The sequence below is a fragment of the Homo sapiens genome, chromosome 4 (assembly GCF_000001405.40).
Source record: "Homo sapiens chromosome 4, GRCh38.p14 Primary Assembly".
In the NCBI taxonomy this organism is placed as follows: domain Eukaryota; kingdom Metazoa; phylum Chordata; class Mammalia; order Primates; family Hominidae; genus Homo; species Homo sapiens.
The window spans coordinates 146,089,085-146,105,652 of NC_000004.12; the positions used below are offsets into that span (position 1 = coordinate 146,089,085).

The 16,568-nt window shown below is 38.8% G+C and overlaps 1 annotated feature.

Annotated features, from left to right (window-relative positions):
• Positions 10,569 to 10,808: an enhancer, noted in NCBI's record as "active region_21978". NCBI's record gives its function as "activates an Ori minimal core promoter by ATAC-STARR-seq in GM12878 lymphoblastoid cells {active_cell/tissue: GM12878}" and the evidence as "EXISTENCE:reporter gene assay evidence [ECO:0000049][PMID:35858748]".

Sequence of the window (16,568 nt, forward strand, 5' to 3'; positions counted from 1 at the left end):
AGAATACCATAGGCTGGGTGTCTCAAACAACAGAAAATATTTTTTTCATAGTTAAATAGTTAATTTCTAGAGGTTGGAAGTTGAAGATCAAGGTTCCAGTGGGGTTTGGTTTCTGGTGAGGGCCTTCTTTCTGGCTTGGAAGTGGCCATTTTGTCCTTATATGGCCTTTTTTCTGAGTGTACTCAGAGAGAGAGAACATGCATGGTATCTGATGTCTTCTCTTATAAAGACACTAGTCTTTGGTAGGGTTCCACTGTTATGACCAAATCATTTTATCTTAATTACCTCCTTACAGGTTCTATCTCCAAATACAGTCATGTTGGGGGTTAAGGATTCAATATATGACATGAAGGGGAACACATAATTTGGTCCACAGCAATCCACATACACTAAGACCCAGAAGTTCTAGAAACATTTCCTAGAGAAATTCTTGTGCACGTACACAAAGAGATGTGTAGAAAGAATATTCACTGTTGCATTATTTATAATAGCAACATGAAAAAAATTTAGATAACCACCATTAGGAAATGGAGAAAGAAATTGTAAAATCATCAAACAATAAAGTAATACACAGTAGTTAAAAGAGCAAACAAGAACCACATATTGTGGCTCTGTCAGCATGAATAAATCTTAGAAATAAAATTTGAGTATGAAAATCAAACTACAGAAAGTATACACAGAACATGATACCATTAAAGTGAGAAAGTAACTAAGCAGTAGGTCTTAGTTTCTTATGGATATACTCATATGAATGAAACATATGTTAAAAATATGACAATATGGATGGAAAGGATGAACCTCAATTCAGGCTAGTGGCTGATTTAGAGAAGGAGGAAGGGCAGTAACAGGATAGGTGACTTTAATTTTGTCTGTAATATTTTATTCTCAAGTTAAAAGGATCTGAGGTAAATATGGCAAAGTAATAACATCTACTAAAGGGATAGTGGGTACATGGTAATTTGATATATAATTTCTGTTCCTTGTGTTTGCAGTTTTCATAATGAACACCAAATAAGCAAACAAATGTTTAAAAGGCAAAATGTCCCTGAGAGTTAGAGAGATCTAGGTCCCAACTGAGTTCCCATTATTCACTAGATATAGGTCCTTGGGCAAGTTACCTAACCTCCTTAAGTTGCTCCTATTTATGTATTTTCATCTATACCTACCTCTTGGGAATATTGTGAAATTCAACAGCGCTCATGTAAAGCATGTGGCACCCAGCATACAAAACAATGCTAGTTCCCTTTCTTACATCAAGTACTGTTTAGTAACATTGATTTAAACTCCATGTCTTTGTCTAAACTAAAAGAAAGCTCTGAGTGGTTGTAATGAGACAGAATAATTTTCCTGTTTCCCTTATTGTGACCTTTCTTTCTTTTTTTTTTAACCCCTACCTTGTCTCAGGTATTTAAATGTGTGTGTGCATGCACAAACACATAAGCAGTACTTCACAAGTGCTTTAGAGCAGAGGCTAAACTTTTGGAGGTTGGGAAAATGGTCTCTTTAATGTCATGTAAGTGTGAAGCATCTTTTCACTTACAGGCTTAAAAGAACTATATTGTAGCAAAACTAGAAATCAGTTAAAGTTTTTGTGTTGAGACAGTACTTGCTGATTGAATTCTCATGGTGTATGTGTTCTTTTTCTTTTTCTTTCTTTCTTTTTTTGAGCTGGAGTCTTGCTATGTTGCCCAGGCTGATCTCAAACTCCTGAACTCAGTCAATGCTGCTTCAGCTTCCTGAGTAGCTTATTACAGGTATGTACTACTGCACCTGGCTGTATTTATTTTTATGTAGTCTTTCATAACAATATAATGAGGACAGTTTTGTGTGGTCAGTTTTAAATTATCCTTGCTGTGGAGACATCAGAAAGCTCAGGAAAATCCAGAAACTTCATCTGAATCAATTGTTCTCATTTTTTTAAACTGCCACTTGAACTATTAGCAGAAAAGATCATCAATTCAAGTATCTACCCCTTTTTGTTCTTTTTTTCATGCTAGAGAATTTGTTAAAGAAAGGTTCAAAAGTCACAACATTAGCAGCAATAAAGGTAAAAAATAAAAATAAAAGGCTGAGCCTGATGGTTCACACTGGTAATCCCAGCACTTTGGGAGGCCAAGGAAGGCGGATCACCTGAGGTCGGGAGCTCAAGACCAGCCTGACCAACATTGGAGAAACCCCGTCTCTACTAAAAATATAAAATTAGCCAGGTATGGTAGCGCATGCCTGTAATCCCAGCTACTCAGGAGGCTGAGGCAGGGGAATCTGCCTCTAGGGAGGCAGAGGTTGCGGTGAGTCAAAATTGCTCCATTGCACTCCAGCCTGGGCAACAAGAGAGAAACTCTGTCTCAAAAAGTAAATAAATAAATAAATAAAATAATAATGATAAAATAAAAATAAAAAATAAAAAAGTCTCCGCTACTTTGGGGACAAAATGCTAACTGAAAATCAAGCTGATCAAATTGGTTGCTTTCAATTTTATGCTGTCTCTAGACTGAAGCTCAGAGCTTCTTATAACTAAGGAGGAGAGGAGAAAGATATGTAGAGAGCAGGCAGAAAAGAGTCTAAATAACCAAGGACTGCTATGCAGGTTGTGCACTGCACAACTCCAGAAAGCACGATTTACATGGACAACTATGTATGCATGCAATGGCCCTGAAAGGAGGTATCAAAGTAAAGAACAGAAAAGGCCGTAGTTGCACAGAAGAGTTCCTAGTCTCTGAAATTTCCCACAATCTAACTTTATGAGTGAAGCCCATTCTCATTTAACTACACAAGTAAGTGATGGATTTTGGAGAATCAAAGTCCATAGTATAGATAATACATAGGATTTTTCAGTGGGATACCTCTCAATAACATGGAAATAAAGGGAATGAAACTAACAAGGACCAACATGTAATAAATAAGGTTATCGATCTGCAGAAGTTCCCTAAAAGATTAAAACTGAGTAACAAATAGACATAATAAACAGTCAAATCTCATTTAAAACATAAATCAATATATATGTTGTGCAGTTTCCTGTATTTAAAAAGGTAAGAAACAGCAATGCTAATTAGGATGAACATATGTACTTAATTAAACATCCCACTTTCCATTAGTGAACACACAAGAGGAGCACAGTTTATGCAGTTTTCACAGGTTTGAGAATGAGCTTACTAACCATGTATAGGAGAAAAATAAGTACTGCACAGTTTTGAAGAGCATTCTGCATTTCATTGCTTTGGTTAAAAGTGTAAGGTGGGTAAACACCTAAAGGTCCTTCTATTTATGTGTGAAATCAAGGGTAGGTTCATGAGTTCTTTTTCGTTTTAAAGGTCTGTGATTTTATTAGCAATGATGGGTGATATACAAGAAAGAGGAGCAGAAAGAAATCATCCCTTTCCATGGACAAGTGCTTTCTTTTATCATTGTATCTCTGTGTGAATAAATTCTATAATTATTGTAAAGCAATATACACTATTCTAAATGCTTTTCTTTGGATCTGCATAGAGTGCCTTTGATGTAAGCAAGGCTGGGCAGTTGTTTAAAAAAGTGGTTTGGAGATCAAGTTCTTGACCTAATATGGACAAGGTCTATTTTCGACTCTTTCATTTGAAACTAGCAACAGCAGATTAAAAACAACTTTATACTGCAAATTCAAAGTAGAAATGTCTTTTTGACCAACATCTAATTTCTTGCTCTTTGTGATCCAAATTTGGTAAGCTTTGGGGAGTTGAATATTAAGATTATATTTCTACCTTGTGCAGAAGAGTAATTCTAGTCCATCAAATGAAATTGTAAGCGTCCAGTGAGGCCCAAGACTTGTTTTCATGGCACATTGATGGCTACTGGCTTGTGACCTATTAGTAGGTCAAGTTCATTGTCAGTAACCACCATATTATCCTAACCTCTTCTGCTGACCACAAAGAAAATGAACCAGAAGATAAGGCTCTTTCTTGGATCACTAATATTTTCCATTTGGGTACATTTATATCTTTCCTAATGTAGCAAAGTAGCATTAAGCGTAGCAATTTCAAGAGGTAAAGCAGAGGTGTTAGAGAAGCCAGATGGCTGCCAACAGAGGTCTAGCTCAATGGTAGTGTCCTGTCCCAAGTCTGTACTCAGATTTTCAGGTCTAGAATTGGTTCTGTTTGCACATCCAAATTTGACTGGGCTGAGAGATAACAGCAAATAACTAAACTTACAAAGGATTGATGTAAAAACTGGTATGCCAATTCCGTAGTTATAGTGGTAAATATTACTATGAACAGATTACTTATACCCCATATTCAGGGACTTCTTTTTTAAAGAATCTTGGTTTTTGGGAAGTTGAGTGAATTTCACAAAGATACCTGCTCTATCAGCCGTGATGAAACAGCACTGTGACAGAGAAAACCCACATAGTATTTCAAACAGGGAATTTTTACTATAAAAAAGAGAAAAATCAATCAAAAGAGAAAAATCAATCAAAAAGGAGAGAAAAACCACACAGTAATTCAAACAGGGAATGTTTAATATAAAGAATTATTAACTATAATAGAGAATTCGGATAATAATGGATTGACTAGTAAGAAATATAAATTACTCTACAGAATACAAGGATAGCAGATATAAGATTACTCCTAGGGCTGAGATAAAAGCCCTCAGCAAGAAACAGATCTTATTGCAGAGAGTGCAGCTGTGGCTCAAGGATGGCTGACAAGCCACTGAAATGCCTCACCAGTAGAACTTGCTGGAAACCCACCTTCTTGGGTGTCAAGGAAGCTATTCACAGGGTGGTGCCATGTTTTGGAATTTACTCCAGTGTCAAGCAGGAGGTGGTGGAGGAAGCTGCTGGCCACTGGGTGCTGGTGACTGCTACTTGCTGCAGGAACCTGGCAGTGGAGAAGCCCCACACGTAGAAGGAACCTAGAGAAGAGAACAGACCAGAATCAGAAAGATATACCCCTTCCTCCTCTTCTGTCTTTCTTGCACCCTCCACTGACAAACAGAGCATCATGCCAGATACCAAAGGAGAAATATTTACAGGGTCCAGCTCCATCCTCACAGAGTAGGTAATAAGGGATGGATTTGAAGTTGAGAGGCAAGAAATTGGTAACTGGCACAGTTGCTAAGTCAGCATGACATTCATTCAAAGAAAGGTAGACAGTCTTGAAAAACATATCATTCAAGCCAGGGAAAATGTAATGAATCTCCTTGTCCAAAAACAGAGCATACTTCTTTGTTTAAGGAAAACGTCTATGGGTTCTAGACCCATAACCCTTGGGTAGTTCTGGATAAACATAAATTCTTGTCCTGTTTTCCAAGTTCTGCTACAACCAACTTATTGCTGTTTGGGCAGGGTATTATACAATCAACATGATTTTAATTTTCTTAGATTTTTAAAATCACTTTCATGGCCTGTCTCCCTCACATTATAAACCTTACTGCTTTGGTGAATCTTGAAAGTTTCCTTTTGTCTTCAGCTGTGTATTACAATTTTGGGTACACCTACAGCTGCAGGTGGCTAACTCTTCGAGGCTGGAGATGACCTTCATTCAAAGTTACAAAATATCTCTCATGATAGCCTCCATCATGGCTATAGAGAGCTCTAATTCTCTCCAACATGACCTCAGAGAGACAAGATGCATTTAACTTTTTAGGCCAATAGTGTTTGATTTCATGAATTACTAAAAAACTTAGGAACAGCCTTTTTTATTACCCAGAAATAAGATTTGCAAAGGGGAATTAATAAAGTAAAAGGAATACTTATCCAGAGAGTATTTACTAGCAGTGTAACTTGAGGCATCTTTGTCCCTTGTTGCACAAATGCAAAATGTGTGTACTAAGAGCAACAATTTTGATAGGCCATTGTGAAAATCAATTCAGTTAATAGATGTTAAAGTGCTTAAGTCAGCACCTGGTACACAGTTAGTACTCATAAGTGATACATATGATCTGACATGAAAACCAAGAAATTTCTTAGATTTCTGGCAGAAATTTATCCAACTTGAGAGAAAAAGATCAGCAAGAATGAAGAATTTTAATACATTTTTGAAATAAGAAAAGGTATTGTACCCTTTGGTAGTAGAAAAAAATCTGCTTCCATTGACTATAGTCAGATATACTCTATTTATTAAGCATAATGGGAACTTGTGAGAATGTAGAAGATCTGTCCATTTAGGGCCCAAAAAACTTCAGGAAACAGTCTCCAATGGGTTTATGATGGATTGGGATGCAAATTCAGTGTCACTAGATGGCGCTGTAGAGCAATTAAGCTTGGTTGCTTGTTAAAGGTGATTTTAAACACTATTCTAAAATTGGGTTATTTTCATATGAACATTTTGCACAAGCATAGGTAGTTATGTGAGCCAAAAATAGTGTGCCTATGTTCACCAGGGTTTTTAACCCACAAACAGCTGGTGTGGCAAGTATGAGAGACCTTGAGAACAAATGACCAGGAGGAATAGTAGACTTACGGGAAGATAACTGAACACAAACCAAGCTAAGATTCAGTAGCTGACTGGGATCACTAAATGGTGACAGAGAAACTGTGGTCCGAGGTCATCTTTTCAAAGTTAAGGCTAGCATCGGTAAAATGAAATTGTGAGCTAAATACTGCAAAAATAGAGCATTAAAATACTATAGCTTGATATCTTTATTTATATCTGAGGTTCTGATAGCATACCTGATGTTTTACTGTCTAGTTCACAAAAACAAGACTAAGTTGAAATTATATGTTTTCAAGTCTTATTTTGGATTAGTATTTTCACTTTCTAAAGGGCATGTTTTAAGGGATCCACACTATTATATAAAAAATTGTGTTTGGGATTTGGTAGAACTTTTTTTTGGAAATAGTGAGGAGAGAGGCATGAAGCAAAGAAAGAAGTTGGTTTTATATACAGATGTTAAGGAAGGTTATAAAAAAAGAAGAGAAGGTGCAGGCCACATTCAGACATTTGACTCACATTATAGTGCAGTAAAACTAGTTGATTCAGTTCATTGCCTTCAATCTCCTCAATCAGTACAGCCTTGTCAATTTTTAAACCAGCCAGCAGAGAGCAAGAATGACTGGATGGCTGTGCTGCGATCCATTTATTGTACTACACAGAGCTATAGCTAGATTCCTACCAAGCCATAACATCACGAAGGAACAGATTGCACTTGACCTGTAGATGAATGGCTTTTGATGGGGACTTAGATGGAGATAAAGGAAGTCAGCTGCTATGGCTCTAGCATTAGAAATGGTGGGATATATAATATAATAGTATAGAAATGGTGGGAAAAGGAAACACTCTAACAGCCTTGGAATAAAGAAGAAATGGAGATAAGAGATTTACAAGGTTAAGAAATGAAGAGGAAATATAAAGGAACTTAAAAGGAAATTATTCCTTGGCTTCAGGAAATTAACTACTGATTCTTTCCTTGTAAGTTGGAGCCTTAAATAGTAAGAGATGTCTGTGGTGTGTAGAGAGGAACGTCTGTCTTATTGTGTGGTAACTCAGGATACTTGGCGTTCAAAGGTATAACATTTCAGTAATCTGGACCTTGGAATCCCCACTGGTTTTAGTGTTGTAATCTTCAGTCTCTACAAAGTTGACCTCAACTGAGTCACTGATACTTCATTAATGATTTTTCATTATCTTTAGATTATTAGACTTTAAGTTTGAGTTATAGGATTCCTATTTCAGGCATCTTCTTAAAATTAACTAAGGGCAAATGTGTATAATTCTTAGGTATTGCCTCTAAAGTCAAGGTTCAGGTGATAATTCAGTTAAAAAGTCAGTTCCTGAGTATAATGATACAGAGAAAATGTTATTTCTGTTGCAGCTGGTATGAGAATCCCATCTGAGGAGGGTTTTGCTAAGCCCATGAGACACTTACAAAAAATTAGGCTACACCCTGAGAAAGAAGTGGACCACACATCCCAGTGCCTCCCCATGGTGACAAGGGATTGGGGGTGGGAGCTGGGGGTGCTTCGGGAAGGTGCTAGACAGAGAGAATGAAATGCTGGTGAGAGGGTAGAAAGGGACCCCTCCTGGGGCCAGTCAGATCTACACACGTGATTCCCAACACATGATAGGCTTAATGTGAGTATATCCTTTGGGAAAACCCTGAAGGGGCTGAGTCTTGAACCCAGCGAGCATGTTTGAATTTAGGGGGAAAGGCCATCATGAGAAATATGATGTTGGTAATTTTAACTTTTCTTTAGTGCAGTCATTTAAAGCTGACAACAGGTCACCTAGCTGGAGAGCGGCAGATTTGCCACCCCACACTCACCCCGGCAGAGTGGAAAAGCAACTCTTGAACAATGAAATGAGTGAATGTGGAGATGAGTGAGGCCTTCCCGCCTCCACAACTCACCTTCTGTATCTATATGCCCCCCTGATGGCCCCTTATAGCTGGGCCCTCCCTGCCTCCAAAGGGTTAGATGAACTGAGTAACTGATAAATTACCCCCTCAGCTGTCTTCTCTGTGAGATGAGGAACTAATAGGATCTCTCCCGTGAGTTGTGGTGGTAATTCACATAAAGCCCTTAAACTATTACTGGTCATATGTGATGGAATATAGAATATATGTTAGTTCTTATCATTAAAAAATGACCTATTCTAATACTCTGTGCAGTAGTAACAGATGAAAGAAACATGACTCTCAATTTTTAAATTTTCCTCAGCCTTTGCTTCATGACTGTGCAAAAACACCAACTCTGGGACTTTTAAAAGACTTGGTACCCTAATGTCGAGAGAGGCCCAGAGGTCCTACTGCTGTGCAGTCCACCCTCCAGCAACAGAAACTCTGGCCGAATGCCAGGGATTAAAATATTCCAAGGAAGACAAAGACTAGAGCCAAAGCAGAAAGAAATCAAGATAAGAAAAATAATCCCTTGAGTGACACACAGTTATAATTAAATAACACAGAACTAAAGCCAAGCATTTTTTGTTATGCCCTCTATGAGTAATACTTGTGCTTTGAAACTTTTAAAATATTTAAGGCAAGAAGAAATGAAATGCATGGCAACCAGTTAAGGTCATACATTTAGGACAAAAATAATAAAATATTAAAATGAAAGAAATAAATGTTCTAACTGAAATACTGAGATTCTGTGGAGATGAATTATTCAAAGTAGGAAACACATGTGACCTCCAATCTATTATATAACGGGAGAAATGGTGGTAAAGTTCAAGTGTAGAGCAATGCCAAGAGATGAGAAAATGATGGCAGGTAATGCTTAACAATATTCTAAAATTATGCTTAGATTTAAGGAAAGAGACTTCAAAGAAAGAAGAGGCAAGTTTGGCTAGTATAAAATGGAGTCTGGGGGCTTGAAAATGGTATTTTTCAGTCAGAACACCTAAGTAGTCAGGATAGACTAAATTATGCTGTAGTAACAAATAACTCTAAGCCTCAATGGCTTCAAACAGCACAGTTTTACTTCTTGCTCACAATAGATGTCTATTATGAGTTAGCAAAGATCTCTGTTCATCAGTCACTTAGGAGTAGGATTTCTGATGGTACAGCCACCATCTTGAACTTTGCCAGTCTCTGTTCTAGAGGGAAGTGTGAGCCCAGGGTTTCAGATCATATAAAATACTAATGTCCAGAAATGACTCATGTTAGTTTTGCTCAAACTCCCTGTCCAGGACTACTTCAAGGGGGCCAAAAAGTACAATTTTACCCTGCAGGCAGAAGTGGGGAAGGAACAAGAAGAAGAAAAAGATTTGGAGAATAACTCCAGCGGTTCCCCTGCAGCTCCACATGGCACTCCTTGGAAGGAAAACCTGTTTGTATGGCTGGGGGCTTCACGTACTTTGTTCATGAGAAAATCAGCTCCTGACCCCAGCACTTAACATGAGCAGGATTTTTGTGACTAAGATGTTCATAACTTAGGGTGACTTTGAGGGAAGGATTGTAGCTTTATTTTTAGTATTAATTGCCATGCATGTAACAGAAATCCAGTAGGCTATGGGAACAGGCAAGGGCCTTTGCAATTGTCTAGCCTCAGGGTCTTGAATCCAAATGCCTACAAGAGCCAAGGCAGGAAATGTGCATGAATGGGGGAGTCCGGGTGGTGTGCAAGAAGGGGTTGTCATGAGAGGGTGCACTGAGGGTACATGTCCTCCTGAAGGGAGTGACTGCTTCTCAGCACAAGCAAAGGGCCAGTGTGAGGGATTATGAGATGAATGTGGCCAGATTTTCTGACTTTTTAAGAGAAGTCAGAGAGACACGGTTGTTTTTTGGTTTTTGGTTTCTTTTCTAATTTTAGATGTGAAATCTAGTTTTTAAACCTTGGTTTCAAATTATAAAAAATTTAAAACACCATTTTGAACTAATGAAACATGGCTATAGCCTACCAGTTTATGACAATTATCCCGTGTTTTTTAATCCTCCTTTCTCACCACTTTTCCCCCACCCTTATTCCTCCAGCAGCAGAAGAACCCTTTATTTGGTCAAAGTCCAACTCAGAAAGTCAATATCTAGAGTGGATATATGTGGGGAACTGCTCTGATTGAAGCAGAGTGAGGGCCTGGACCCTAAAATTCAGCTGTTTCCCCTCTTCTCCCAGAACTCAAGAAGCACAGTTTGAAAACCACAGAATGAGTGGAATGCAAGCCTCTGCTTCTTCAGGTGAGGATTCAGACCAGGATACAGAACCAATCAGAGGCCTGTCAGTCCAGAAGTCCTTCCAGAACACCAGCAGTCCTGCATTCATCCATGTGCTGACCACAGTGCCCACTAGAGCTCCCCGTGCAGTCAGAGATTCACTGAAGCCTCTGTCAGACGTCATCATGAAATGTACCCTGAAAAGACTCTTGCACAGGACACCCTGCTGGCAACACGTGGGGTGAAGGGTGCAGAGGTTGCCTTCTCCAGGGAATTATATTCTAAGATGTACATTTCCATCTTGGCAAGCTCAGAGACAAACACCCAGGTACTGTGCTCTGAAGCAGTTGAATTAGTAAACTAAGAGGAATAACATCTTGGGGAGCATTAGTGCTGGTGCTCTTTGTGCAGTGGGACATGGAAAGTGTGAGCGGCAGGACAGATCCTCAGCAGGGTTGAGAAGGAGCTACCTGGACTTCTGCATGTATGGGAGTTTTAGTAACTTAATAGCTCAGCTTTGCCTTGCGAAAATTCTATGTATCTGCACCCAGATCTTTCAGGTCTAGAAACAGATAGATATAAAACATACAAAGTATATATGTACACATTATATATATATATGTATTATATATAAAGTATATACACATATATATGTTTTCCTGTGAGTTTTATTTTATTTTATAATTTCAGCTTTTATTTTAGATTAACGGGTACATGTGCAGGTTTTACCTGGGTATACTGCATGATGCTGAGGTTTGGACTACAATTGATGCCGTCACCCAGATACTGAGCATAGTGTCCAATAGTTTTTCAACCCTGGCCCACCTCCCTCCCCATTCTAGTAGTCCCCAGTGTCTATTGTTGCCATCTTTATGTCCATGAGTATCCAATATTTAGGTCCCACATGTAAGTGAGAACATGCAGTATTTAGTTTTCTGTTCCTGCAATAATTCACTTAGGATAATGGCCTCCAGCTACACCCATGTTGCTTCAAAGGACATGATTTTTTTCTTTTTTATGGCTGCATAGTATTTCATTGTGTACATGTGCCACATTTTCTTTATCCATTCCACCACTGATGAATATCCAGGCTGATTTCATCTCTGTTGCTATGAATAGTGTCGCAATGAACACATGAGTGCGTGTGTCCTTTTGGTAGAATGATTTATTCTCTTTTGGATATATAACCAGTAATGGGACTACTGGGTTGAATGGCAGTTCTGTTGTAAGTTCTTTGAGAAATCTCCAAACTGCTTTCCACAGTGGGTGAACTAACTTACATTCCCACCAACAGTGCATAAGCAGTCCCCTTCCTCTGCAGTCTCACCAGGATCTGTTGTTTTTTGACTTTTTAATAGTAGCCATTCTGACTGGTGTGAGATGGTATAACCTTGTGGTTTTGATTTGCATTTCCCTGATGATTAGTGATGTTGAGCATTTTTTAAATATGTTTGTATGTCTTCTTTTGAGAAGTGTCTGTTTATGTCTTTTGCCCATTTTTTAATGGAGTTACTTGTTTCTTGCTTGTTGAATTAAGTTCCTTGTAGATTCTGGATGTTAGACCCCTGTCAGATGCACAGTTTGTGAATATTTTCTCCCATTCTGTATCTGTTTACTCTGTTGATTGTTTTTATTGTTGAGCAGAAGCTCTTTAATTATGTCCCATTTGACAGTTTTTGTGTTGGTTGCAATTGCTTTTGAGGACTTAGTCATAAATTTCTTCCCTAAGGCCCATGTCCAGAGTGGTGTTTCCTAGGTTTTCTTCTAAGATTCTTGTAATTTGAGGTCTTACATTTAAATCTTTAATCCATCTTGAGTTCATTTTTGTATATGGTGAAAGGTAAGAGTCCAGTTCCATTCTTCTTCATATGGTTAGCCAGTTATTCCATCACCATTTATTGAACAGAAAGTCCTTTCCCCATTGCTTATTTTTCTCTACTTTTTCAAAGATCAGATGGTTGTATACATGCAGCTTTATCTTTGGGTTCTCTATTCTGTTCCACTGTTCTATTTGTCTGTTTTTGTACTAGTATCATGCTGTTTTGGTTACTGCAGACTTATAGCATAGTTTGAAGTTTGGGAATGTGATGCCTCCAACTTTGTCCTTTTTGCTTAGGATTGCTTTGGTGATTTTAGCTTTTTGGTTCCATATGAATTTTAAAATATTTTTTCTAGTTCTGTGAAAAATGACATTGGTAGATTGATAGGAATAGCATTGAATCTGTAAAGTGCTTTGATAAGTATGACTATTTTAATAATATTGATTCTTCCAATCCATGAGCATGGAATGTTTTTCCATTTATTTGTGTTATCTGTGATTTCTTTCAGCAGTATTTTGTAGTTCTCCTTGTACAGATCTTTCACCTCCTTAGTTGGATATATTCCTAGGTATTTCATTTTTTTGCAGCTATTGTAAATAGGTTTGCATTTTTAATTTGGCTCTTAGCTTGAATGTTAATTGGTGTTTAGAAAGGCTGAGTTTTATTTTAAAAATAAAGGATACACATTACTTAGTTTTAAAATTTAAATATAAGTAAGTACACAGAAAAAAAAAACCTTACTCTTAATTATCTAATCTGGAAGGTCAGCAAATTATGGCGTGTGGGCCAAATTCAGCCCACAACCTATCTTTGTCTTTAAGGTTTTATTGGAATGCAATCACGCCCATTCACTTATGTGCTACCCATGGCTACTTTCTTGCTGAAATGGCAGATGAAGTAGCTGTGACACAGACTGCATGGCTCACAAAGTCTAAAATACTTACTATGGGCTGGGTGCTGTGGCTCATCCCTAAAATCCCAGCACTTAGGGAGGCCGAAATGGGAGGATCTTTTGAGCCCAGGAGTTTGAAACCATCCTGGGCAACACAGGGAGACCCTGTTTCTAAAGAATATAAAAAATAAAAATAAACTAGCTGGGTGTGGTGGTACATACCTGTGTTCCCAGCCACTCGGGAGGCTGAGGGAGGAGGATTGCTTGAGCCTGGGAGGTCAAGGCTGAAGTGAGCTGTGATCATGCTACTGTGTTCCAGCTTGGGTGACAGAGCAAGACTTTGTCTCAAAACACATAAATAAAATAAAATAAAGCAAAATACTATTAGTCCCTTTATAGAAAAAGTGTGCCTACCTCTCATCCAATCCCACCAACTAAAGATCATCATTATTATTTGGCATATTTTCTTCTAATATTTTTCTATGTGTATACATATATTGGAAAAAATGAAATCATATTCTATTTAGTGCCCACAATTCTGCAAATAATGGAAATGTTATACATCTGCACTGTCCAATATAATTATTGAGTATGGAAATGTGCCTTCTGTCACTGAGAAACTAAATATTTAATTTTATTTAATTATAATCAATTAAAATTTAAATAACCACATGTGACTAGTGAGTGCCGTTATGAACAGAACTTTCTTGAAATATTTGCTTAATATTTCAGGATCATTTCTTTAAATCGTTAAATTCCTTATGAAACCCTTTTTATAACTGTATAATGTTATAATGTATGGATGAGTCATCATTTACTGAGCCAAGCGCCTATCACTGACACTTCGGTCCCAGTTTTTCACTATTATAATCCAATTCCATGATGAACATTTCTGTGCATGCAAATATTTGCACATGCCTACGATTATTGAATTAGGATAAATTTCTACATGCAGTATCATTTGATCAGAGAACGTAAATATTGTTCAGAGTTTTAAAATATATCATCAAATTGCTAGAGAGATCCTTCCATCCTGCCTACTTGAGAACAATACAGGAGAGTGCCTATTCCCCATATTATTCTGCGTATATTTTTAAGAATTGTCTTGAAAAGAGTCTCCTCCCTTATCTGTTCCATCTGGACTGTCAAAGAGATGATTGAGTAGGATACTTTGTGAAGACTCAACAGTGAATTGAGAAAGATGGGGACTGAGATCAGAATGGAGCATTTTCCACTGAAGTTGTCTACACAATCAAGGCTTTGGGCCACTTGAATAATTTGCATGATCACTTCTAAATGTAGTGCTGTGGGCAAAGTCCTTATGCTGTGGCAGGTCTTGACATTGAAATATTCTTGCTTGGGGGCAATGAAGACTTAAATGGACATGTGTGTGAAAATGAAATAGAAATGTAAATGGCGGTCGGGGTGGGTGGAGGTGAGGGGGTTGGGGGTGGGGATGGCAGTAGCTCCTTTTCATTCTCTCCACCTCCCATCCCCCAGGATGGAAGATTTAAGAAACAGGCAACAGACCAGGCGCGGTGGCTCAAGCCTGTAATCCCAGCACTTTGGAAGGCAGAGGTGGGCGGATAACGACGTCAGGAGATGGAGACTATCCTGGCTAACAGGGTGAAACCCTGTCTCTACTAAAAAAATATAAAAAATTAGCCGGGCATGGTGGCAGGCACCTGTGGTCCCAGCTACTCGGGAGGCTGAGGAGGGAGAATGGCTTGAACCCGTGAGGCGGAGCTTGCAGTGAACCGAGCTCGCGCCACTGCACTCCAGTCTGGAAGACAGAGTGAGACTCCGTCAAGAAAGAAGAGAGAGAGAGAGACAGAGAGAGAGAGAGAGAGAGAAAGAGAGAGAGAGAGAGAGACAGAGAGAGAGAGAGAGAAAGAGAGAGAGAGAGAGAGAGAGAGAGAGAGAGAGGGAAACAGCCAACAGAGAAATAAAGGAACGGAGGAACAAGGCCACGGGAAGTGAATAAGCTCAGGTACCAACCACAAGTGGTGTCAACAAACATAAGATGTGGGGGATAAGAGCAAGGGTCTTCTGGTGAGAAAAACATGGAATTGAGTTTTACTCTGCCACCTCATCATGCACCCTGAGTAAGTGGCTTTATCTCCCTGGGCCTCAATTTTCTCAAGAGAATAATAATAGTTCTCTATGTTTAAGGATCATTAAAAATAATCAATGTGAAAAATTCAACACAGGGCCTGGCTCATATAGCACTACAAGTGAGGGCCACTGATGGGATTAGGATTATCTTTCTCTCACGCTGAAAATCAGGGGGGCTGCCTCCTCCAGGGCGCTAGTCCACACAACCCCCTCATGGAAAGCATCCTCACCACCAACAGGCAGGTCCCCTTGGCCTGGCACACAGCCCAGCTATAGCATATGTATTGCTCAAAGAGGATGGCACTTCTTGTAATGTGCTTTACCCAGGCGTTCTTGAAAGTCAGTGACCTACCATTTAGGATGGCCTGGGCTACATGGCGCCCCCAGGATTTGGGGGTGGAGGTGACTGTCACCTCCCCTGCCTTAATAATTACTCTCTTCCCAATAACTGATTAGAATGGGTCAGATCAGACCTGCCCAAGGCTGCCTATGCCTGCAGACATTTTCCCACCTATGCTTATTCCTCATCTCTAAAATGTACCAGTTTTGACTTTTTTTTTTTTTTTTTTTTTTTGGAATTTAGAAACTCTGATCTCTACCATTCAATGCAGGGGAAGCGCTGTTATATATCTGTTGTGTAACATAGAGAGAGAAAAAACACATTAGTCGATTTGTAGGCAACTATATTCCTCTCCTCCTCTTGTGGCTGTTTCTCTACTTCCTTTAAAATAAACAAAGGCCAAAAGTGACTTCGGAAAATTCCCAAAGGGAAGAATAAAGCCAACATGAAAGACTGTCAAAGGCAGGCTTGCCGGATTTATAAAAGCAGGGAACCCCTCCTACCCTGTCTCCATCCACACCCACCCCCTACTCCATACACACACTTCTTTTTTAGCCAATGCCTCAGTTAGCACAATACTAACATTTCAGGGAAGGCTTGGGTGATTTTTCTTTAGGAAATAATGGTCAACACTATTCAAAAACCAAACAAGCTAAAGCTGTTCCTTGAATTGGTGATATATTTGCAAAGATGAAATTACACAATCCAGACATGCTAGTTATGAACACAGAAAATCTTCTACTTCTCTGTTCAAGGGTCAGAAAATGAAGAAGTCATTTAGATATTTACCAACTTCACAGTGGCTGCTGAAAGTGCCAGCCAAGTTTTTGAAACAAAAGAAGAG